This window comes from Homo sapiens, chromosome 7, assembly GCF_000001405.40.
Source record: "Homo sapiens chromosome 7, GRCh38.p14 Primary Assembly".
NCBI classification, from domain to species: domain Eukaryota; kingdom Metazoa; phylum Chordata; class Mammalia; order Primates; family Hominidae; genus Homo; species Homo sapiens.
In genome coordinates, this window is record NC_000007.14 from 92,328,965 (window position 1) to 92,355,920 (window position 26,956).

At 35.5% G+C, this 26,956-nt stretch overlaps 1 protein-coding gene across 1 annotated transcript in view; it reads left to right on the top strand.

Annotated features, from left to right (window-relative positions):
* Positions 1-26,956, top strand: part of ANKIB1 (ankyrin repeat and IBR domain containing 1) — a 155,410-nt gene that overhangs the window by 82,991 nt on the left and 45,463 nt on the right. Inside the window, exons 6-9 of the mRNA NM_019004.2 lie at positions 14,060-14,268; positions 16,014-16,102; positions 21,986-22,130; positions 23,512-23,678. Coding sequence (NP_061877.1) covers positions 14,060-14,268; positions 16,014-16,102; positions 21,986-22,130; positions 23,512-23,678 — 610 coding nt within the window. The remainder of the gene's footprint in view (positions 1-14,059; positions 14,269-16,013; positions 16,103-21,985; positions 22,131-23,511; positions 23,679-26,956) is intronic.

Consider the following 26,956-nt stretch of genomic DNA (forward strand, 5'->3'; position numbering starts at 1 on the left):
ACACACTTTTTTTTTTTTTTTGGGACAGAGTCTTGCTCTGTTGCCCAGGCTGGAGTGCAGTGGTGTGATCTTGGCTCACTACAACCTCTGCCTTCCAGGTTCAAGCAATTCTCATGCCTCAGCCTCCTGAGTAGCTGGGATTACAGGTGCACACCACCACACCCGGCTAATTTTTGTATTTTTAGTAGAGACAAGGTTCCATCATGTTGGCCAGGCTGGTCTCTAACTCCCAATCTAGGTGATCCACCCCCTCGCCCTCCCAGAGTGCTGGGATTACAGGCGTGAGTCACCGCACCCAGCCTACCTTCAATATCGATGTTTCTGACAGTCTACAACTGCCATTCTTTTCCCACCTTATATACCTGTAGCTCTTAAATTTTAATATAAATAAGAATTGCCTGGGAAACTAAATGGAGATTCCTAGGAATAACCCCAGAGAATCTAAGTCATTAGGTCTAGTGTAAGGCCCAAAAATATGTGTTGTGAACAAGTCTACCAAGTGGACCATTCTCTGAGAAACATTGCTGTGCATATTTATCTCATAAAATCAGTAGCTTCAAAAACCACCTAAACAATAAAGATTATGTCTACATTCTGACTTTAATCAAGTATTCTACTGTATTTCTAAAAGCCTATTATTTCTCACAATCTATGGATGATCACAGCTGGACTCATCATTTCTCCCATTGTATTGATTAGTGGGCAGCAATATTCACCTAATTTTCCTAGCCAGAAACTTGAAAGTCATATTTTAGTCCTCTGTCTCTCTTATATTTGACCACAGTCCCATTATTTCTCTTTCTAATTATCTTTCAGCCTCCCTTCACTCTCCCTAGCTCTTTCAATTCCACTGCCACTGACTTAAGGCTGTCATTACTTTTCATCTAAATTGAAGTACCCAGAGTCCTAGTCTCCAGTTTTACCATTCTTCTTTCACCCAACTAATTTCTCATACTGCCACTATTGTGTTCTTTTAAAATGGAAACCTGAGCATGTCATTCCCCTGCTGAAAACCCTTCAGTGGCTTGCTACAGACTTAAAATCATCCAAAATTTTTGGTAGACTTTATGACATAATCTTTACCTAGACTGTCAGTCTTCCCATTTCTTTCCCTTTACCAATCCGAATTGTCCTTAGACATCATTTCTTCTAGGAAACCTTTCCTGAGTGTGTCTTCCGAAGTCTCAGTTGGGACCCATATAATGGGTCTATTCCTATTTTATTCCATGCATATATGTGTCATACACTTAGAATGGAATATTACAATATTGTAATTACAATCTCTTTATTTGCTTCTTTTCCTTTATATTAACCTTGAAGCTACTTGAAATGGCAGCTTTTAATTTTTATTGTTAGGTATTGTTTCCGTAATACCTAATATATATTAATCACTCAGAAAACAGTTTTGTAATGAATAGATAATAAGCCAAAAATGTTTTTTTATATTTTTTGAAAATCAATGTTTTTGTTGTAAAATTACATTTTTTATTGCCATGTTTATAAACTTCAAAGTAAATTCTATAGAAAAAAATTTAGACCTGAGTAAAAAAATTAAATTTAGAAATTCTGAATAGTTTTTAAAAACAAAATATTTTTGGCCGGGCGCAGTGGCTCATGCCTGTAATCACAGCACTTTGGGAGGCCGAGGTGGGCGGATCATGAGGTCAGGAGATCGAGACTATCCTGGCTAACATGCTGAAACCCCGTCTCTACTAAAAATACAAAAAATTAGCAGGGCGTGGTGGTGGGCGCCTGTAGTCCCAGCTACTTAGGAGGCTGAGGCAGGAGAATGGCGTGAACCCGGGAGGTGGAGCTTGCAGTGAGTGGAGATTGTGCTACTGCACTCCAGCCTGGACGACAGAGCGAGACTCTGTCTCAAAACAAAAACAAAAACAAAAAACAAAATATTTTCTTTTTAGCCCATAATAATGCTTAATAGTCATAATGTAAAAAACTTATACAGAAACACAAAATACTTTAAATTGTGTTTCATTATGTTAGGGTTCATAGCACCAGAAGGTATACTCTGTCCATTGCTTGAGATTTTTAAAATGCAAGGTCTGCATTTAAATATAATGTAGAGCTGGCAGAAAAGTAGAAGCTGTTCATCAGTGGGGAGCCACTGCGTCATAGTTGTACTGGTTAGGGTAGGCTGCTGCTGAACAAAAATGTAGGATTAAATACAGTAAACGTTTCTTAATCATGTAATAGTCCAAAGCATTTCCATTTAGATTAGGTAGGATGTGGACTCTGGTCAGGGACTGTGACTGACTGGAACATTGCCATCTTAAACAACATCACTTCTTTTTTTTTTTTTTTTTTGAGGCAGTCTAACTCTGTCAACCCAGGCTGGAGTGCAGTAGCACAATCTTGGCTTACTGCAACCTCTGCCTCCTGGGTTCAAGCGATTCTCTTGCCTCAGCCTCCCGAGTAGCTGGGATTACAGGTGCACACCACCATGCCTGGCTAATTTTTGTATTTTTAGTAGAGATGGGGTTTCACCAGATGGGGTTTGGCCAGGCTGGTCTGGAACTCCTGACCTCAAGTGATCCGCCTGCCTCGGCCTCCCAGAGTGTTGGGATTACAGGCATGAGCCACCATGCCTGGCCAACAACATCACTTCTGAGGTTGTCCTGGGGATTATCTAGGCCTACTAGTTACAGTAGCCAGCTAGTCAGAAAGAGAAAAGAGCCTGAAGGAACAATTGTGGAAAGTTTTATGAGCCACTCCTGTAAGTGGCATATGTCACTCCTGTACGTATTTCATTCATTGACCAGAATTCAGTCACATGGCCACACCTCACTGTCACGTGGCCATACCTAACTGCAAACAAAAAAAAGTGTCTACACTACAGCATTTTTGTGTACAGATAGCCATCTTTGCCAAAAGTCTCTACATTCAGCCAAATCATATAGTGTTCATAACTCTTAAGCTATAGTATCATATAGAATCTAACAACCTATAATTTCACCATAATTAAAAGAAACATTTTTATCCCTATTTTTTACACATCGTATCGTTAAATATTATTAAATGATCAACTCCGTTTTTACTCCATTGATATTTCCCTAAATTACTTGTTTTACAATAAGATGAAACCCAACTGAATTTTCGTGCTTGGCATTGATAACTTACTAAAAGCATTGTTCTGTATTTCATTCCCCTATTAGGGCATAAAATAGAGGATAATTCAGGTTTTTAAGTGAGCATCTCTTCTCTGTTGTTTAGGTGGTATCAATGACATTTGATAAGCAAATAAGATTTACAGAGATAAGTGATGCTTGTGAGTTAGTGCACATAACTACAGTTTACTATAATTGCTCTTAAAGCCAGGACAGGCTGTGTTTTAGAGCTATTAAACTGAACCATTAGGAAGATTTATAGATTGTATCCTTGAAAACATTCATTCATTTTTATACAGGAAAATAGTTTTGAGTATTATACTGTGTTATCAAATATAATCCCAAGGTAATGAAGTTGATGTAGATTAAGCAGACGGCATAAATATTTAGCAGTATTTATTAAATGGAGTTGAATTTTAAGAAGGACTATGTTAGGAATACAAAGGTCATTTTCTGAGTATTTCCCCAGTAATAAAAGTAACTTATGTAATTGAATATTACCTAATGAAAAAATGAATATAATTTACAAAATATGTGACAGGCTAATTTGCTTGTGCTTAGAATAAAATTATATTGAAGCATTATTTTTAACTCCTTTGGAGGTTCATCATCTTCCAAGCAATTAAACATTCCTGTTCCCACATCTTCTCTTCTCATTCTGTTCTCTTCCTGGGAAATGTTACCTTCTCCCAAGACTTTTGGAAATAATACATTTCTCCCCCCTGGACTAGACCTCTCTTCTGAGCTCCATATTTCATACTGTATGTAATTGCCTATGTGAAAATCCTTCCAGTCTATCTCAAAGCTACCTTAAACTCATCGTGTTTAAAACTAAGATCATGTTCTTGGAACTGAACCTGGTTCTCTGGTGTTCCCTAACTCCATAGATGGCAGCACCAGCCAACCAACTGGGTATTCGAGGCAGAAACCTGGAACACCAACTTCGACATTTCCTCTCCCATCCTGTCATCACTTAATTGTCAGTTTCACCTCCCCAATCTTAAACTTCTCCCTTTTTCTTCATTTCCACTAGCTGCTATCACCTCTCAACTACACTACAGAAGAAAGTCAGAATAATCTTATCAAATCTAATCATGACAACCTATTCTTCCTATCTCTAGTCCCGATTTTTCATTGACTGCCTATCACTCCTAAACTGAAAATGGAAGTGTTTATTTTTTTAAAATCCTGCATGACTGAGCCCCTGCCTGTTTCTCTAGCCTTATCTCATACAGTGCTTCCCCTCTAGTCCCATGCTATAGCTACACTGACCTTTTTAATTTCACAAGGGTGTTACCCTCCCTCCTGCCACAGGCCTTTGAACATGCTGTATTCTATCTTTCTAGAATGTCTTTCCCTTCCCCTTTTATCTGGTTAACTCCCACTCATCTTTAGATGTCCACTCCATGCCATTTCCCTAGGGATGCCCTCTCTGACCTCCCTGACTCCGGTTTTCTACCTCTCTTTATGGTGTTTCTGACAGTGGTGATTTTTTGGTGGTGTTTACGTGTTTATTTTACTCATGTCTTTCTCCTTACTAGACTGTAAGTTCCATGGAGACAGGAAAGGAATTATGTCTGGTTTTTCCTATCATTGTATGCCCGCTACCTGACATAGTGGATGGGACATAAAAGGTATTCAATAAATATTTGCTAAGGAGTCAGATGTGATAGAATCAAACAAATTTTGCTGAAAAATATGGTAGAAAAGACTAAAATGTAGCATATTTAATGTCTATCTGTCTTAGTTATATTAGTTGTTTTTACTTTTATTAAAAAGTAGCATAATGGAAATTTTTGAAAAATAATACTATCCTAAGAAAGTTGTTTTTACTTTATATGCCTCACATTTTTTATATGTGACACATTTTAACACAGTAACCAATTTATTCTTATTAAAGGTCTTCACATAACATGCTAAACATTTTTCAACAGTTATTATAATGACCACTTTTAATGACTATATGTAAGAAAATTGTTTGGATGTGCTAAGCTAAAGCAAATCTGGGAGATGGCACTCATTCTTGCATTCATTTGTGATTACTTTATTCCAAGGATAAATTTTTAAGAGGTAATAGTACTTAATGCTGTTATTATTGAATTCCTTATGTGTTGTAATGCATTACAGAGACTTAAAACAGTTAGAATCAAAATGGGTATAATTATCCTGTATTTTGCTCAGTTAAATAAGTAACATATAATTATCCTGTACTTTGCTCAGTTAAGTAACATCTGGAATTTGAATTCAAGAATTCCTGATTCCAAGGGATAATCTTTGTACTATGTCCCATTGCTAACATTTTGAATGGCAGCAATGAGAAAATTTGAGGAACCATATGGGACATGCATTCCAGATGTAGTATACTATCAGACAGATTCTAGAAAATTATCTTACAAAGAATTGTTTCCTGATTTAGGTATGAAGAAATATTTTTGAAAATAATTTTCAAATAGTAAAATAAATTAAGAGAAGAACAAAGTAAAATAAATAAAAATGAACTTTTCTGTAGTTGTCATTTTCAAACTAAAAATGGCTCTCATGATTTTTATATGACTCTAAAAGTAATAAATATCTATGTGAATGAAAATCCAATAGGGCACAGAGAAAACGTTTATAACAATAGTATGCTTAATCTACATATGATATTTTATAATATACTTTTAAAAATTAATGCATGATATAAAGCTTTTCATATCAATAGCTATATGACTACATAATCTCATTATATAAACATACCATACTCTGTTGCTGTTTGCACCATTTTTTTCTTTTTGCTGTTGTAAACAGTGCTGTGATTAGCATCCTTCAAATATGCCCTTGTGTGCCTATCCATTAATTTACTTAGGGTGAATTTTTAGCAGTAAAATTACAAGTTCAAACAATATGCTCTTAATTAAAACTGTACATTTCTTATTTAAAGTAAAGTCCAATGTATTTTCATGTTTCCTGGACATTTGTATTTCTTTTTGTGATTTGTCATTCATATCTTTTTTACTTTTTTTTCTATTGAGGCCAAAAGTTTGTATGTTGTATTTTCTTTATCATTCATTTTAAAATATTTTAAAATTTCTCTTTCTCCATTGCCTCATCTGTTATTTAGAATAATATAGTCTAATTTTCAAATATTTGAGATTTTTCTGGATGTTTTATTGTTTTCACTTCAGTTTTACTGGTTAAGATTTCAGTCTTTTGAAATTTGTTGAGGCTTGTTTAAGCATGTAGTCTGTCTTGATGACTATATCATGTGCATTTGACAAGGATGTAATTGTGAAGTTGTTCATCATAGTGTTCTATAAATGTTAATTAAGGTCAGTAGTGTTCTTTAAATTGTACTTGTTTTTACTAATAAAAATTAAAGACTAGTTCCATCAGTTGATGAGAGAGGGATGTTAAAATTTCTATTTATGAATGTGGATTTGTATATAGCTCCTCCTTAATGGTGTCAATTTGCTTAATCTATTTTGAAACTCTCATATTAGGCTCATATACATTTATAATTATGTCTTTCTGACTCTTTTCTCACCATGAAATGTCCCTTATCTTTTTTTACTATTTTTTCTTTATCTGATACTAATATAGCACTTTGGCTTTTTTATGCTATTTGAATATCTTGTAAATAGCATTTGGTTCAGTTCTTTATCCATTCTGATGGACTGTTTAGTCCATTTACATTTAATGTAATATTGTTGTGGTTGGATTTAGGTCTTCCATTTCACTGTTTGTTTGTTTTCTGTTTGTCTCTTTATTTTTTGTTCTCTGTTCCTCCTTCTCTGCTGTATTTTGAATTAGTTGAATAATCTTGGCATTTGGTTTTAATTATCTGTTGGGTTTTTAGCTAATTCTTCTTTGCATTTTATTCTTTAACATGCTGCTTTCTGGGCTGTTGTATATATTCTTATCATTTTATAGTCTATTTAGCATTAGTGTAGTACCACTTCCCATAAAATGTAAGAATCTTGCAACTATGTATGTACATTGCCCCATCCCTTATGCTATCATTATTATAGTACATAATCATAAATATCACAATGCAGTGTCATAATTTTTGCTTTAATCAGCCATATGTATTTTAAATAAACTATCTTTTTTCTCTGTTCTTCAGATTGGATCATTTCTGTCTCCAAGTTCACCAAATTTTCCCTCTGATCTCTTTTTTATCTCCTCTAAACTGCTGTTAAGCCAACACAGTAAAAATTTTTTTTTTTAGAATTGTTTTTCAGTTCTAGAATTTACACTCGGTTCTTTTTTATGGCTTTCATTTATTTACTTAGTTTTCCTGGCCTTTTGTACTTTACAAACTATTTTTCTTTATGTTCTTGATCATAAAGTTATTTAAATCCATGGTGATTACTAATTCCAATATATGGATTACCTCAAGGTTGGTGTCCACTGTTGCATTTTCTGACATTTTCCAGTTTTTCCACATGTCTAGTAATTTGGAATTGGATCTTAGACAATTAGAGTATATTGCTGTAGGCATTATATGTAGGCTTCAGTTTGAGATTTGGAGAGTCTATATCCAGAATCTGTGCTTCCTGTGGCTCTCTCCTTTCTAGGATATCCTCCCTCATGTCCAAAGTGCTCTGGTCACCCTGAATCTAATCTCAGGTTCTTAAGCTAGTAAAATTTCAAGTTTCTGTCGTTGTGCCAAATGTTGTCTGCCCACAGAGAAAAACTTGTACAAATAGAAACTCAAACAGTGCTTTTTCATTTTGTCAGACATTAACTCCCCTCCAATTTCTGCCTGCTTTTGGTTGCTCTCTAGTGTCCTCAGATAGTTGTGGTTTATATTTTGTCCAATATTTGTAGCTGTTATCTGTAGGAGAGTTGGTCTGATAGTAGCTACTTTACCTTTATCAGAAGTAGAACTCTGTTATATTCAGTTTCCCTTATGGTTTTCTTAAGATTACCAGGAGGGCTATCCTATCATTTGTAAATAATGATAATTGTTCCTGCAGCTTTCCCATATCTTTTATCTGGTTTAATTACATTGGCTAGCACTCCTATGTAACATTATAAGTGATGCTTATTATTTTCTTGGCTTAAGTGGAAATTCATTCAGTCACCAATTCGTCCTTTACTGTGTACTAAGCAGTAAACTTTGAGAATTCCAAATGGAGAAGTTGTCTAGAGCTCAGAATCATTTAAGCAGGAAATAGATTGTTGCAATGCATCAGTGAATAGATAATTGAAATTCTGAGAATGGCTTTTGTGTTTTAAATTAAGAATTAGGCTATTGGTTTGAAAGAGATTCTGTTTATCGTGTTAAAACAGTATCTTTTTCTTACTATTTAAGAGCTCTCTTTTTAAAAATTCAGGAGTAATTTTTTAGATTGTCTTACTTTTTCCAGATCTTTTTTAAAAATGATAATACTGATTTTCTTCTTTGATACATTGGTATTATAAATTTCTTTCCTAATGTTCAGCTGTTCTTATATTCCAGGAATAAGGCATACTTGGGCTTGGGGTATATGTTATGCATATTTCATTTCCTATTAATGACATTTTATGTATATTTTGACATTATAATACAGTAAATGCTGTCTTAACCCACATCAACTTAACTTTCAGGATTCTCTTTGTCAAACAGACTGAATGCTTCTGTCTAGGGGGCTCCTTTTCAGAATTGCCATGCACCTGGCTTGAATTACATGCCAATTAACAAACCTGATTATCTCAGTTGTACACCTTGTTGTAATTACATAATATAATGGAATGGTACTGATAAAATATGAGTAAATAGTTATTTATTGAAATCTAAGTTGGAGGCTTTGGAAAGCCTTGATAAAGGCAAGTTCATTTTAAAATTTTTCTGACTAAATTATGCGTGAGTGAAATAACTGAAAAAAAGGGAGGAGATCATAAAAATCTAGGCCTTTACATTCATATTGCTATCTGAATGTGTTTTAAATCTTAATCTAAGAAAATAACAATGAGAAATGGATAATGTTTTGTGGGTGTAGTTTAGGCAAGAAATAGGAAATAGAAGGAGAACGATAAGTCAAAGAAAAGGGCTTGGCCCTACATAAAAAAGATTATTAAGGCTAGGTGTAGTGGCTCAGGTCTGTAATTTTAGCACTTGGGGAGCCAAGGCGAGAAGATCACCTGAGCTCAGGAGTTCCAGACATACTTGGGCAACATAGTGAGACCTTGTCTCTACAAAAAAATTAAAAAAAAAAAAAAATCTGGGCATGGTGGCATATGCCTGTAAGTCCCAGCTACTCAGGAGGCTGAGGTAGGAGGATCACTTGAACCCAGGAAGCCAAGGCTGCAGTGAGCCATTGATCGCCCCACTGCACTCTAGGCTGGGTGACAGAGCTAGACTTTGCCTCAAAAAAAAATAAAAATTAAAAAAAGATTAGGAAATTAATATATATGTTTTATTAAATGTTTGAGTTATGTGTATATAATTGTTTTTAATAATTCTGCATTTTACATGTCCAGTTATTTGTGCTGATAATGTCAAGATTTGCTTTATAAATAAGGTTAGGTTTTGGCATTTCAGGTTTTTATAATAGCTTTTTAAAAATATCTATGTGACTTGGCCGGGTGTGGTGGCTCATGCCTGTAATCCCAGCACTTTGGGAGGCCAAGGCGGGCAGATAACCTGAGGTCAGGAGTTCAAGACCAGCCTGGCCAACATGGTGAAACCCCATCTCTACTAAAAATACAAAAATTAGCTGGGCGTGGTGGTGGGCGCCTGTAGTCCCAGCTACTTGGGAGGCTGAGGCAGGAGAATTGCTTGAACCTGGGAGGCAGAGGTTGCAGTGAGCTGAGATCGCACCACTGCACTCCAGCCTGGGCGACAGAGTGAGACTCCATCTCAAAAAAAAAAAAAAAAAAAAAAATATATATATATATATATATATATATATATATATATATTTATATGAATCTTCCTTTTTTCTTTATGCTTATGCAAGGACACAAGAATTAATTTCTACTTGAATTTTCTTTTTTTTTTTTTTTTTTTGAGACTGAGTCTTGCTCTGTCACCTAGGCTAGAGTGTAGTGGCACTATCTCTGCTCACTGCAAGCTCCATCTCCTGGGTTCATGCCATTCTCCTGCCTCAGCCTCCCGAGTAGCTGGGACAACAGGCACCTGCCACCACGCCTGGCTAATTTTTTTGTATTTTTAGTAGCGATGGGGTTTCACTGTGTTAGCCAGGATGGTCTTGATCTCCTGACCTGGTGATCCGCCCGCCTTGGCCTCCCAAAGTGCTGGGATTACAGGCGTGAGCCACCGCACCTGGCCAAAAATTTTTTAAAGTTTGCTTATGAAACCATGTGAACCCTATACTTTTTAAATAAATAATTACTGTATTCTTCAGTTTCTCCCAATGTTATTAGTCTGCTTAGAATTACTACCTTTTCATGAGTTCTTCAGCTGTAATCATTTACAATTTCCTGGAATATTATCTACTTCAGTTAGATTTAAATAATAGGAGCATGTGGTTTTATATTCATTTGTTCGTTCAACAGATTTCTATTGAATATACACTTTGAACTAGGCACTAGGCTGAGTAATGGAGATAAAATCGATTGCAATATAGGTACAAGCTCTGCCCTTAAATAAGTTTACAGTTTGAAAGACATTGCATTTTGTCACAGTTCTTTTAATTTTCTCTCTACATATAGCTGTATCTTATTTTCAATTTCAATGTGTATACGCTGAGTTTTCCCGATTGCCTTGGTTTTTATTTTTAGTTCTTAGATTTTTGTCTTTTTTTCTTGCAGTTTATAGGTTGTCTATCATTTTTTCTATCAATAGTTTCTAACATTTAATTTCTACTTTGCCTTTATCACCTTCTTCCTTTTCTTGAGTTTGGTTGGTTGTAGGGTTTTTTTTTTTAATGATGGCTCAATTACATGTATTATCTTAATCAGAAAATTCTAGTTTTTTTGGTAAGTGTTTTCTTTACTTTTCCTTTGAAGTGTTTTTTCTCCCTTGGCCTTAAAGAACATTAATTTGTGTCTCAAATGGGACCATTCTCTTTATTTGGCCACTGAATTTTTTTTTAAATGATGGCTTTGTTTGTCCCAAGAAATCTTTTGTGCTAATCCTGATTCTCTGTAATCCAGCTGTCTTTCTGCAGCTGTTTCTCTGAACTCTGAGCCCAACCTTGGGTCTAAGTAAGACTACCTGTTCAGCTCTTCCTCAGTTTCCTGAGGGTCACAGAGATCAGGTGTGCTCATTCAGTTCCAGTGAAAGGAATTAGCCTTACCAGAAAAGAGAACACGCTGTAAGCCACTGTAATTCAGTCAGCATGGCACTTGTTCAAATCTAGACAAATAGACCATTGAAACAGAATAGTAAATCCAATTTACAGTATTTGGGAATATAATTTATGTAAAGATGACATTATAGATCAGTGGGGAAAGGATATATAATTCATTAAATGGCCCTAATATGACTGGCCATTGGAATACCAAGAAAAAAAAAGGATGAGGGATATAAAGTCAATTCATCAATTTGTCTAGGAGACTTACATGTAAATCTAAGGACAGAGAAAAACCTCTGAGTTTCTAAGACAAGAAAGCTAAAGAAGAGATAGACATATTAAAGTATACTGGATTTTTAAATTTTTGTTGTAAGTATACCATAAACAAAGTCAGGAAACATAATTTTGATTTGGAAACAATATTAGCTAATGTTTATTGTATACAAAAGCCTTCTTTAAATTGACAAGAAATTGGTAAATACCCCAGTGCCAAAATGGTGAAAAGATATGGATAGGTAATTCATAGAAGAGCACGTCCAAATGGCCAACAAACACATCAAACAATGTTTGAATACATCCATTGTGAAGAAAATGCAAATTAAAATAACAGTGAACTATAAGTTTATAAATGTTTAAAAGAACTGTAACACCCATTGCTGTAGAAGAAACTGGTAAGGTTCCTCATTGCTGACAGAAGTAAAAACTGTTATAACCTGCCAGGCTTGGTGGCTCATGCCTGTAATCCCAGCACTTTGTGAGGCCGAGGTGGGCAGATCACTTGAGGTCGGGAGTTTGAGACCAGCCTGGGCAACATGGTGAAACCCTGTCTCTACTAAAAAATATGTATAAAACTTAGCCTGGAGTGGTGGCACATGCCTGTAGTCCCAGCTATTTGGGAGGCTGAGGCACGAGAATCTCTTGAACCCAGGAGGCAGAGGCTGCAGTGAGCCAAGATCATGCCGTTGCACTCCAGCCTGGGTGACAAAGCGAGACCCTGTCTCAAAAAAAAAAAAAAAAAAATTTGTCATAACCTTTTTGGAAAGCCATCTAGCATTTTCTTTTAAAAACACAATGGGCCTTAGACTCATTAGTCTCATTCCAGGGAATTTATACCAAGGAAATACCAATATAAACATGAATATATACTTATAACTGCACTGATGCAGATTGCAACCTCGTTGTGGCAAAAAAAAAAAAACTGTAAACAAAGTAGGGGGATATTTGAATAAATCATGATACACAAATTGTTTCACACAGTGGATTAATATGTAGTCATTAAAAAGAAGGAAATAATGTTAAATAAGTTTACTTGGAGAGATTTTCCAGTTGATTAAGTGGGAAAAGGAGATAAAGTTTATATGATATTCTACCTATGTAAAATAATCACCAGAAAAACTCTGTATATACACAGATAGTCCCTGACTTAGGATGGTTTGACTTACAATTTTTTGACTTATAATGGTGCTAACTCAATATGCATTCAGTAGAAACCATACTACTCTTGAGATGCTGGGCGACAGTAGTGAGCCATAGCTCCTAGTTAACCACACATTTTCAACTTATCATATTTTCAGTTTACAGTGGATTTATCAGGACTTAACCCCATCGTAAGTCAAGGAGCATCTATATTTATATACGTACTTGTTTATTTTCCCTACCTGGAAATATACTCCTTCTATTTTCATTGCATGTCAAAGTCATATTTATCCTGTTAAACTGCCAAATACATCGGCTTAATATAGTTGAAAAAAAAAAACCTCGTGTAGAAAATTTCCAGTTATTTGTATTTAAGCTATAAAATTTTATAGAATGTGCCTACAGTGAATAATTTACCCTTTAGTCTTCTCAGAAATAGTGTGTGATCATGGGACGAACACAGCCTTTGGAATCACAGAAATTGGTTTCAAATCTCTGTGTGAGCTTGGACAAGTTATATAACTTCCTTCAGTCTTGATTTCTTCGCCTAAATAATAATTGAAAAGTTTGCTGGGAGGAATAAATGAAATTATGTAAAACACCTAGCAAAGTAATTGAATGTATTAGTTTGTTGTTTTTAAAGGGTTAGGTTTTTATGGCTCTAGACATTATAGTATGTTTTACTTGGCAATTTTTAAAATGTTCACAGTAGGAAGATAATTTTTTTTAGTTAAGCCAGGTTCAAGATCACTTAATATAGAATTTATACCTAATTCACTAAAACTTTATTTATAACTCTAATTTCTTCGGAAGTTTCTTCTGCTTTCAAGCTGTTTATTAAATGATTTTTAGGACCTGTAATTGGCATTTTGACATATCTATAGTGAACTATGTAATCATTTTACAACTTGATGCCAGTGAGGACAGTTAAAAAATTATATATACTTTTGGAAAGAGTAAAGAAGCTAAATTAAACCTATGCCAGCGAAAATGTAGTGAATTCCAAGAGTGATTTGTGAGTGACCTGTTTTGATTGTTAGTAGAAAGTACTGGAAATTTTGACCATACTGCTAGATCTTGACATGGTTGTAAGCCATGATCAATTATGAAAGCTTAAATTTTGTGTAAAAACGCTAATAACAAGAACATACCTAGACATTCATTTGCAGTTACTACTTTTATATACTTTTTTCTTTAGATGACCAAAATTTGTAATTCTCATATTTTTGTTATTATATAGCTTTTATAACATTACCATATTTTCTTTTTTGAGAGCTATCCATTCCATTTTTCTTTAAGACTGGGACAGGGAGAAATTACTTGAAGCTTGGATGTCCAACCCGGAGAACTGCTGCCAACGATCAGGTGTTCAAATGCCAACTCCACCACCAAGTGGGTATAATGCCTGGGACACGCTCCCATCTCCAAGAACTCCAAGGACTACACGCTCTTCTGTCACCTCCCCAGATGAAATCAGCTTATCTCCTGGGGATTTAGACACCAGTTTGGTATGGTTTGGTATTCACTGTACTTCTCATAGCTTTGTTTATAGTCTTTTAACATTCAAATGATTTAATATTGTTCCATGGAGTGTCTGGTTGTGTTCTTGTAATTGAATCCTATCCCTTTCTTGAAAGGTTCGGTTATTTCCATGCTTCAGTAAATATTTATTATTACAGAATGTTTTTGTGATCTCTGAATTATAGATTGAAAAAAAAAGGTTTTCTTTCCTCATTTCCAAACAGAGAACTTAAAACAGTTTAGGGAAACCATCTATTTTATTTTCCCTTAAAACTTCAGTTGCTTAATGATTTAAATACAGGCCAGGCACAGTAAGTAGCTCATGCCTATAATCCTAGCACTTTGGGAGGCCAAGGTGGGTGGATTGCCTGAGCTCAGGAGTTCAAGACTAGCCTGGGCAACATAGCCAGACCCCATCTCAAAATACATACACACATATATACATCATATTGAAATATAAAAAGATAAGTTTGTGATGGGCACTGTAAACCGAAAATACAAAAACATTTTTTATAATTTCTTGAAAGGTAATTTTTAAGCATTTACAATATATTGATAGTTATGTATTTGTTTCAGTAAAGCTTCTGGAGTTTGTTATCTAGATGCATTTCCAAAATAAGTGTTTTATTATTTTATGAAACAGTACTGCCATTGTCAGCATTTTTAACTGGCATATCATTGGTGTGCTACTATAGGAGATTTTAATATTTCTTGAATGACTCAGCCACTCAAAATATGTGATAAATATGAAAGTGCTTCTCATTTTATCTGTGCCTTTTTGGAAAACAGAATCCTGTAATTTGCATATGTAACGTGATAAATTTTGCTTCTAGAGAGCTATTGTTTAGAAGATACTAGGTAGGCGCAAAAGTGATTGCAGCTTTTGCTATTAAAATGGCATAGTTTTAATACATAGGTGGGTTTTTTGTTGTTGTTTTGTGTTTTTGGTTTTTTTTTTTTTTTTTTTTTTTTTTTTGAGACGGAGTTTCACTCTTGTTGCCGAGGCTGGAGTGTAATGGCATGACCTCGGCTCCCTGCAACCTCCACCTCCCAGATTCAGGTGATTCTCCTGCCTCAGCCTCCTGAGTAGCTGGGATTACAGACATGCACCACCACACCCAGCTAATTTTTGTATTTTTGGTAGAGACAGGGTTTCACCATGTTGGTCAGGCTGGTCTTGAACTCCTGACCTCAAGTGATCTGCCCACCTCGGCCTCGCAAAGTGCTGGGATTACAGGTGTGAGCCACCGCGCCCGGCCTAATACTTAGTTTTATAGCAGGGTTCTCTCCCTGGAAAGTGTGGATATCTTGAGTTGCTGCATTAAAAATACAAAGTTACTCTGTTTTCATAGATTTTGAAGGGTAGGTGTAATGTGAAGGGCATGATACTGAAGTGGTTTTTTGCAACATGTAATTTGATGTTGGCCCAAATGATTTGTTTCTTGTACTTCGTTTTCCAAACGCACAGTTGCTGATTAATACATAAATTTGGAATTTAAGGGTTTGATTTTTGCATTAAAACATTTAAATCCCACTTTTATTTATAGTGAGGTAGTCATGGTATTTGTTACTGAAAGGCACACTAACTGTCCTTAAAACTTTGAAAGAGGTAACTTTCAAAAACTTTTAATTACTGTACTAGTATTTTTGCCTTTTAAAAAAGTAAACAAAATGTATTGTTCTCTTTCAGAAGTACATTTCTGTTTAAATCATTGTTCTTCTTCATCTCCAGTGTGACATTTGTATGTGCAGTATCTCTGTATTTGAAGACCCTGTGGATATGCCCTGTGGACATGACTTTTGTAGAGGATGTTGGGAGTCGTGAGTATATGAGCACCTTAGCATCTCTTACTGCATGATAGCACTCTGATTTGTTAATAAAATTGTTTGCTTTCAGTATTTAATGATGCAAATTGTTTATATTGACTTCTGAGTTACACAGAAATGAATTTAGACTTTACTAGTAAGGAAAAATATTTTTGTTTTTATTTTTACGTCTTCCCCAGCTATTTTAATTAATGCTATTTAGCTTAATGTAAGGTACCTTTAGAAACAAAGCAGGTATACAAATAATTTTTCTTAGTATTTTAGTTTATATTACATCTAATGTAAATTTCAGGCAAGAATCAGTTTGTCTTATATCCCAGGAATCTTAAGCATTTGGTTTTGTGCTGTCTCAATTTTTTGTGACAACCAAGTTGCCTTGAAAATCTTTAAGAATATAGATGTTTAAAATTTCTTTTTAGTGAATGCAGAGTTAAATGTTTCAGCGAGACATAGTTGGGTATATTTTACCAATGGAAAATTTGTTTTGCTTCTTGTGTTTATCTCTATTTACCCTTCCCGTTACCTTTCAAGATTTATACTTTTTCACCATCCATTAACTTTGCTCTCATGTTGCACTTTTCGAGAGAAGTTTCTAAACAAAGATTGCTATAATGAGCACTGTAATGTCATGTTATCTCTGGAGACACACAAAGCTATTGTTTGATGACCTAAGTGAGATATGTCATTGGTATTTAAGAAAATCTTAGAAATCAGAAGTTTTTAACCTTTTTTTTTTTTAAATAGAGTATCAGTTAGCAAGTGTAGGGAGCTAGAGAATACTATGTGGGTAAGAGCGAGAACCTGAGCAGATTTTCTGAGTTTTTCTTTTTAAACAGCTTTGTTGAGGTACAGTTGACATACATAAAGCCACACATTTAAAATAAATAATTTGATAAGCTTTGATATCTATATACAAGCTTGAAACCATCACCACAACCCTTAGAATCTGTCATTCCCAGGTTTCCTCATTTCCCATTGAATCCCTGCTACTCTTCTCTTTCTGCCTTCCTTTTATCACCCCCAATTTGTAGGCAACTGCTGAGCTGTCGTTCTGATTTTTTTTTTTCTTTTTTGAGACAGGGTCTCACTCTGTCACCCAGGCTGAAGTGCAGTGGTGTGATCTCGGCTCACTGCAACGTCTTCCTTCCCGGGTTCAAGCGATTCTCATTGCCTCTGCCTTCCCAGTAAGCTGGGACTATAGGCACACACCACCACGCTCTGCTAATTTTTGTGTTTTTAGTAGAGATGGGGTTTTGCCATGTTGGTCAATCTGGTCTCGAACTCCTGACCTCAAGTGATCCACCCACCTCAGTCCCCCAACGTGTCTGGTTTGATTTTGAGTACATTTCTTTATCTGTTTTCCAAATTGGAGTAAGAGGCAAGATTTCATTTGGAGGGGGAAAAAAATACTGCTTTTTAAGTCAGAATATCTGGTTGTTCCTTTTAAGACATAGACTAGATTCTACTCAGAGTCTACTTAGATAGGATCAGATCAGTATAGCTGTTACAGGTATACTAATTGACAAAGGTCAGAGCTCACAATCCAAAGCTATCCTTAACGCAGTTGTGGAGGCAGAAAATACTTCCCAGGTACAACTTTATCTTAGTTGTTAACTGTACTTAATTAGGAAGTACTACCTGAGCTCTACCAAGTTAGCTGTTGGTCTTGGTGTGTATATGAAAATTGAGTCCCCCAGGGGATTTTCTTGAATTTTTTTGAGCTTCATTGACCTTCCTCACCTGACTTGTATCACAGGAACTATCTCCCAAACTCATCACAAACTAGCCATAAGAAATGTATGGTAAGATTTAAATTTGAAAGATCTAATTATTGGTTTCCTTAGTACCTTCTAGCCTACCTAGGATTCTCCTTTCCACCCCTTCCAATTTTGTCAAATCAAGCACCAATAAAAGAAGTTCCATGTTGGGTGATTCATGTGTTGATGAAATCATTTTTTAATTATCACAGTGTTTTTATAGGCACATAGAAAAAGAAACTCCTAAAACCAAGGAAGCATTTTTAAAGGTCCTCAGATAGTTTGAAAGCCCCTCAATCTATCTTATTCTTCCCAAACTTTTTATTAGTACAGCTAGATGCTTTAGTGCAAGCTTATCCAACAGTGGCCCACAGGCTGCATGTGGCCCAGGACAGCTTTGAATGTGGCCCAACACAAATTCATAAACTTTCTTAGAACATTATGAGTTTTTTTTTGTTTTGTTTTTTGTTTTGCTATTTTTGTTTTAAGCTCATCAGCTGTCATTATTGTTAGTGTATTTTTTGTGTAGCCCAAGACAGTTCTTCTTCCAGTGTGGCCCAGAAAAGCCAAAACATTGGACACCCCCTGCTTTAAAGTATTGATGCCAAGGGCTGAAATAAAAGGGAATAGCCAGGCATAGTGGCACATGTCTGTAGTCCTAGCTACTTGGGCAGCTGAGGCAGAAGGATCACTTGAGCCCAGGGGTTCAGGAGTTCAAGACTACAGTGAGCTATGATCACACCACTGCACTCCAGCCTGGGCAACAGAAGAAGACCCTGTCGATTGATTGATCGATCAATCGACAGATTAGATAGAAATTATTATTTTCTAGCCAGACTAGAATTTCTTTGCTAATATTGAGGATAAGAGCTCAAGTTCTGGATACAATAGGTCACTGGGCTGTGAATTCCAACTCTGCTATTTATTAGTTGTTGATTTAGGTAATTGGTAGCCTGCCTGTTCCTCAGTTTCCTAATCTATAAAGTGGTGATAATAGTATGTGCTTCCTAGGATTATCATCAGTTTTTTAAATTTCTTAACGTATGTAAAGTGCTTAAAACAGGATCTTGCATATAGTAATCGTTCAATAAATATTACTTATTATCATATTCCTAAGCATTGTAATAAGCAGAGAGAGCCTACCTATGATATCATCTGTGAATTTTACCTGCAAGATAAAAATATAGGTAAGGTTTGCCCCAGATTTCTCTCTTTTAGTGACACTTATCAACTCCATGTTCTGCTCATAAATTTTTATTAAATTGTGTCTTGATGAGAAATAATAATATGGCCAACAGAACTGATCCTGTCTTCAATGAGGTCTTCTCAGTTCTGTAATTTAATTCCCCAGAGATGATTAAATCTTCTCTGATATATTTAAAATATGTAAAATTCAAAACATCATCATGTAGTAACTATGTCTAAGCAAACTGTGAACTTTGACAAGGGACTATACAACTTCCCAGGGAATCTCTTCATAGCTAAAAAGAGGAGAATCTTGTTATGTGAAAAAGGAACTCTACAGTTAACAGTTCTCTACTTTTAGTCTTTAAGACTTTTTTTTTTTTTTTTTTGAGTTGGAGTCTCGCTCCGTCACCCAGGCAGGAGTGCAGTGGCACCATCTCAGCTCACTGTGACCTCTGCCTCCCGGGTTCAAGTGATTCTCCTGCCTCAACCTCCTGAGGAGCTGGGATTACAGACACCCGGCACCATGCCAAGCTAATTTTTGTATTTTTAGTAGAGATGAGGTTTCACCACGTTGGTCAGGCTGGTCTTGAACCCCTGACCTTGTGATCCGCCTACCTCGGCCTCCCAAAGCGCTAGGATTATAGGCGTGAGCCACCGTGCCAGGCCACAATATACCTTATATACCTTGTATATCGCTGCTTAGCACAGGAGTGAAAATGGCACTTGTGAAAAAATGGATAAGGATCTACCAGAGGTTGAAGAATGCCAAGGGAAAAAAAAAGTTAATTCCTGGACGCCAAAGAGAATTTGAAAGAAGGAAATGTTCACAGTGTCTCATGCTCTAGAGAAATCAAGGAAGATAAAAACTGAATTCTTTAATAAGTTGGGCTAATGGGTAGTCATTGTGGCCCAGTGAAGAGGTGATAGCAGCCAGATGCTACAGATTGAGAAGTGAATGAGATGGGCTTGAGGAAGGAATAACAGATCATCATAAACTATTTTGTCAAGAAACTTTGATGTGAAAGAAAAAGAAAATGGAAGAGAGTCATGTGGTTAGTAAGGGTTTTTAAAATGGGAAAAACTTGAGCATGTTTATTGTGCCCAAGGTAAGAGCCATTAGAAAGTAAAAGAGAGAAAGGATAGGTTATTGGATAGTGCAAGTCCCAGAGCTGGCCAGAGGATTTGAGGATTAGCCTGGGGTTTAAAGAGAAAGCTCTCCCTTTCACAGAAGTGAGTGGGAAGAAAGGAAAGAATGCTAAAGATACTGCTAGGTTTGAGGTGTGGTAGAGAGCACTTGGAGTGAGAGAACTGACTGTTGGGGATTCTCTTTTCTATGAATTGCCCAGACGAGGATATGAAAGAGAAGATGGAGCAAAGGGAACGGGCCTGCCAAGGTCTCAGTAAGGTTGTCGTTGCTGCTGTTGTTGTTGTTAAGTGCAGTGGAATTAAGAGAATGAGAGAACTAAAGAAAAAAGATACTATAGTTAGTGAAATAATCAAAATGTTGATGGTGAGGACTAAGCAGTTAGATTTAATTGCCTGGTTTTCCATTTATTTTCTCTAGATTTAAGTGTTAAATTCAATATACAGTAATCTGTACTTCAAAAGTTTGTTTCTTGCTTTTCTAAGGGCAGTACTAAATAATAATAACAATAATAATCCTTGCTAAAATTTATGAATTCTTACTCTATGTCATGCACCATGTAGATTTTTCACATATATAATCTGTTTAACAACCCTGGGAAGTTCATATTATTATCTCCATTTTACATATGGTGAAACTGAGGCTTAGAGCAGTTAAATAAATTGCTTAAGATCATATGGCTTGTTGGTGGCAGATCTGGAATTTTCTAACTCAGAACCCTGCTTTTAGCTGGACATGGTAGTACATGCGTGTAATCCCAGCTACTCACTCAGGAGGCTGAGGTGGGAGGATCACTTAATCCCAGGAGTTTGAGACCAACCTAGGCAAAGAGAGACCCCATCTTAAAAAAAAAAAAAAGAAAGAAAAGGAAAGAAAAAAAAGAACCCTGCTTTTAATCTAACCTTGGGCTAGATTCTTGATACTTTTTTACAGGGCATTTTTTCCTCACTACTCAAGTATACCTAAGTAGGAAATAAAACTTATTTTAATATTCATCTAAGTGAAATATAAAAAGAAAACCTATAAACCTATTCTTCAAAAAACTATGCTATATTTTAATGCCATCCCAAAATATCTTGAATTATCTATGGCTCATTTCTATACCATTGCCCCCTTTTCTTTAAAGCTGTAGCATATTGAGAATTGAATATGACCTTTCTGAGCCACTCATTTCTGAATTTTTAATTTTAAATAAAAATACTTTTTCAGATTGTTTCAGATTTTTAGAGAGGGTAAAGCAAAATAGAAACATAAAATATGAAACATACGAGTGTATGTATATATGTGTATGCATATATATTGATATATAAAATGAATGCCTTAACAGATAATGTGCATTACAATTGCTGTTTCACACTTTTGTTGGTATTATTTTAATTACACTCTGACAAAAAGTTCAGCATAAAGGAAAATTGGCCAGACACAGTAGTTCACGCATATAACCCCAGGGCTTTGGGAGGCCAAGGCAGGAGAATCGCTTGAGACCAGGGGTTCGAGATCAGTCTGGACAACATAGCAAGACCCATCGCTAGCAAAAATTTAAAAATTAGCCCAGCATAGCAGCATATAGCTGTAGGCCTAGCTACTCAGAAGACCGAGGTGAGAGGATTGCTTCAGCCCAAGAGTATGAGGCTACAGTGATCTGTGATCGTGCCACTGCACTCCAACCTGAGTGATGGAATGAGACCCTGTCTCTAAAAAAAAAAGGAAAGAAAAAGGAAAATTCTTAGAATGTATGCACAACTTAATATCCTTGCTCGTTTGATGTGCATTGATCCATTTTAATAGGTTTTTGAATCTGAAAATTCAAGAAGGTGAAGCTCACAACATTTTTTGCCCTGCATATGATTGCTTCCAACTTGTACCTGTGGATATCATAGAAAGTGTAGTTTCAAAGGAGATGGACAAACGATACCTACAGTTTGATATTAAGGTAAGGTATACTGCCAATTATCTGTCCAATTTCCATAATTTTGATTTTATTAAACCTTTATAACATTATTTTTTCTTTTTGTTTTATTTTTGAAAACAAAATAATGGCTCTTTTGTTAGAAACACTTTATCAGAAAAGTTGCTTAAAGGAATGGTGATAAAGTTTGAAGCTAAAGCATTATTTTGTAATAATAAGAGGAAAGGGGAAAGGCTAAAGTACTGGTAATTTACAAAATTTAAAATAAAACTATTTATCAGAACTTTTTATTAATTTGCCCGTTGCACTTTAATAACTGATTGATCAAGATAATGTTCAAATTAGATTTTACCTACTTTAAGTTTTCCAAAAGACATTATCTTTCATGCTTCTAAATAAAATATTTGGAAATAAAGATTTCCAACTTGGAAGTTTATTATCATTTTTATTCCAAGTAATAGGTTTATATAATGAATTATAATGTTTATTTCATCTTTTTTTGTCTTCATTCTTTTTCAGAAGTTGTAAGTGTAGGCAAGTTACTTTCTTTTGCGTGTGTGATTTAAAAGTTACATTTTAACTGCTTTGTGCAGATTTTACTGAGTCTAATATGTGAACTTTTAAAAGACAAGTCCTCCTTTTTTTTTTTGTTTTTTTTTTTTTTTTTGGAGACGGAGTCTCATTCTGTCTCCCAGGCTGGAGTGCAGTGGTGTGGTCTCAGCTCACTGCAACCTCTGCGTCCAAGGTTCAAGCCTTTCTTGTGCCTCAGCCTTAAGAGTAGCTGGGATTACGGGCGCCCACTACCACTCCCGGCTAATTTTTGTATTTTTAGTAGAGATGGGGTTTCTCCATGTTGGCCAAGCTGTTCTCCAACTCCCAACCTTAGGTGATCCGCCTGCCTCAGCCTCCCAAAGTGCTAGGATTACAGGCGTGAGCCACTGTGCCCAACCCCCCTCTTTAACATAGAAAGTATAATATTGATTATTATGTATTATTTGGGTACCATTTAGAAATTTACTGTTCTAATACAGCTACATGCATGTTTCTACTTAAGAATTATATTCATCAAAAAGTGACACATTGTATGAGAAAACATTTTAAAATTACATATTTTCTGTGCAAACAATTACATTTTTGCTTTATCATCATTTACATGGTTTTTAGATTAAAGAAAACATAAATTTTAAAAATAATTTTGTTACTAAGTTAATTGCCACTTTCCCCTTAATAATTTTTTCAGTACTTTGCAGTACTATTTAAATTTCTTGAGACTGACAACTCCATGCATTTTATTTCACTCTTTTTCTTTCTTTGCTTTATAGTAAATTACCATAGAGGTACACTCTGTATTAGAATTTAGCATTAAAATATTTTCTTTTGTGTTTTGTTATTGCTGTTTAAACAGGCCTTTGTTGAAAATAATCCTGCCATTAAATGGTGTCCTACTCCAGGCTGTGACAGAGCAGTAAGACTAACGAAACAAGGGTCAAATACATCTGGATCTGATACACTCAGCTTCCCATTGCTGAGAGCTCCTGCTGTTGATTGTGGAAAAGGACACCTCTTCTGCTGGTTAGTATAAGACAAGTTGGAATCAGCCTAATCACCTTTCTTTCCAATAGTTATTAAAGACTTTGCACCTTGAGTCAGGCCTTTAAATTGTAGTATACTTGATAGTATTCTTCTTAATTTAAGAAATGTGTAAGAAGTAGTAATAGTTCATATTTGTTGTGTGCTTAGTGTGTGCCAGGCACTACACCAGCTATTTTTTACATATTGAATTCTCCCAACAATGCTGAGTTGAGTTGATGTTATTATGCCCATTTTACAGATAAACAAACTCAGGCACAGAGAAGTTCCCCAGGGGTATACAGCTAGGAATTGGCAGAAATGGGATTAGAACCCAGCTGTTTGATTTAAAGCCCATGTGCCTAAACTATAATACCAAATTGCTGACCATAGATTAGAAAATGTTTAGAGTTTAACGTTTCATTAAAAATATAAGCCTCTAGCAGTGATTCTTCACCAGGAGCTCCCAAAATTACCAAGGTCCCTTTTACAAAATTTTATCTTGGGCCCTAACAAGTAAGATTTTGATTTAGTAGGTTTTTGAGTGGGGCTCTAAAAAAAGAAAATTAAAAATTTCCCAGGAGATGCTAATGAACAGTTCTAGTCAGGAATCAATGACTGCAGGCTCGTTGTTTCTTGTGTTTTGCTTAGTTTCTAGTGCCTGATAGTACTCAATAAGTACAAACTGATGATAAATCAGTATTGGAAAGGATATGTAACTCTGAATACTCTTTTGACTATATATGTGTCAGCCATCAGCACTCTACTTATTCATAGAAGATTCAGTTAACTGTTTTAAGTAAATGATAAAAAAGAAAAAAGCTACAGTATTTATTCTGTTTTTTGCTCATTTCCAGAATTAGCACATATGCATGGATACACTTAGGTGGATATGAAATTTTAGTCTTTACTTTTATGCTTATCAGAAACCAGAAACTAAGTGTATCACTGCTGTATAGTAGGAAGGTATAGTTATGGAACTATCCCTACCCTGGTCTACTTCTTACCTTCGCCATCATCATTAGTTAAAAGTATTTATTGAACTGCAAACCCCTGACTCTAAGTCAAGGTTCAGCAAACTATTGTCTATACTTATTATTAAACATAACATTTTGCTGGAACACAGCCACACCATTTCATGTCACTTTATTTATGTATTGTCTGTGCCTGCTTTTGGGCAATGACAGCAGAATTGAGCAGCTGAGACAGAGACTTCATGGCCCACAAAACTGGAATCCTGGTTGAAAAAGGCTGATTTAGAGGATTAGTTGGAGAAGCTATGAAGAAGGAAAACATAAATTAGGAAAATGTCTAAAAGATAAAAAGATTAGCTTTTGCAGAGATCAGAGAAAAATTAAGTTTTGAAGGGAAAAGAAGAAACTTTGATTGGCATTGTCTTCTTAAGCACTGTGGTTTCTGTGATCTAGCTTTTACCAGTTTTCAGTGTAGTTTAGCTTTTAATTTCTTGAGTTTGTCCCCATTCTCTTTGTATGCTGCAAGTAATAATAAGTTTGGTTTGACTGAAGATAAGAAAGCTAATGGAAAAAACCTACCAATATAGGTCAGACTCTATAAACATAGATGATGCTATAAACTGTAAATTTCTAGAATAACATTTGGAGAAATACATCAGCTTACTTTTTCTCATACCCCAAAATATCAGGCTGGTTATACTCAAGATGCATTGGAGACTATATACCAAGATCACGGGCCCTACTTTGAGTTTTATCCCAGTTCAAGGGATAAACTCACATGTGAGTCCATGTGAATGGCCACATGGACTAAGGTCACACTTGGTAATTATTTACTCTTTCTCCTATTCATTAGGGTAGTAGAGAACCTAACAAAATCATCATTTTTTGGACATAGCACCAGAGAGGAAGAGACTTAAATGAAATAAAAATAAGTTTTAGTGAAGGACAAACTCAGATTTAAGTTCTTCAGCTTAATCTTTTGTCTTTCAGTTTTGGTATTTATTAAGTTATAGGATGGATTTTTTTTGCATTGCCTACTTGATGTCTCTAGGCATTAATTTACAGTTCCTGTTTTTTTGCATTCTTAGCTTTATACCCTTATTCATATAGTATAAAAGCTTTGTCTGTAATTTTAAAATCTAAGTGGAAATTGTCATATGCTTTCTGTTGCTCTTATCTCTTATTTCAATGAGAAGCAAAATCTGTTCACGCAAAAAGACGCTTTACAAGAGAGATCTTCACAAATTAAACGCAAATGATTCTGGTTTTGCTTCTCCTTCTTCAAAATCTCAGAAGTAATTTTCTAAAGATGACTACAAAAACAACAAACGACAATAATAATTTCTTCTTTTCAAGAACTATATATGACAGAAACAGTTGAGCCATACCCAGGAGATATCTGCATAGATATAACTAAATATATTCGTTGTTGGGAGACAAGTAGTATTAATAGGCATTCCCCTTCCCACCACAGGATACCCTTCTCTACCTGTTCACAAAGTTCCATGCCCTTTGTAACTGAAGCTAGCATGGTTTCTCCCCCTAGCCTTTATAATTACAATTTGTGTGATCTGGGAAAAATTATCTCAAGACAATATTCAAAACTTAGATGGGTTCTGACTTAAACCAATGACTTTTCCTCTTTTTTTTTCTTTTTAATTAAGTAAAATATGCTACTGTGTAACTTCTCTGTCTTCTGAACTGACACAAAGTGTCTCTCTTCTCTGAGACAACTCTTCACAGATTTGTTGTCAGAAATACTTCTTGGCCACCAAACTTAAGATGGTATGGTGGCCATTTCTTTCCTCTCTTTTTACTCTGGTCCCTTTTAATCACCAGTGTGAATTGAAAACTGAAAACCTTATTTGGAATTTCTCTTCTAAACACATAGACAGTCAAACATATTTTATTCGCTGAAATTGATTGGCAGGAAATATTCTAAATAATAATATGGTGCCAGGTGTGGTGGCTCACGCCTGTAATCCCAACACTTTGGGAGGCCGAGGCAGGGGGATCATGAGGTCAGGAGATCGAGACCATCCTGGGTAACACAGTGAAACCCTGTCTCTACTAAAAATACAAAAAATTAGCCAGGCGTGGTGGCATGCTCCTGTAGTTCCAGATATTCGGGAGGCTGAGGCAGGAGAATCGCTTGAACCTGGGAGGCAGAAGTTGCAGTGAGCCGAGATCAAGCCACTGCACTCCAGCCCAGGCAACGGAGCGAGACTCCGTCTCATAATAATAATAATAATAATAATAATAATAATAATAATAGTAATAGTAATAATAAGGTAGAGTTTATATTAC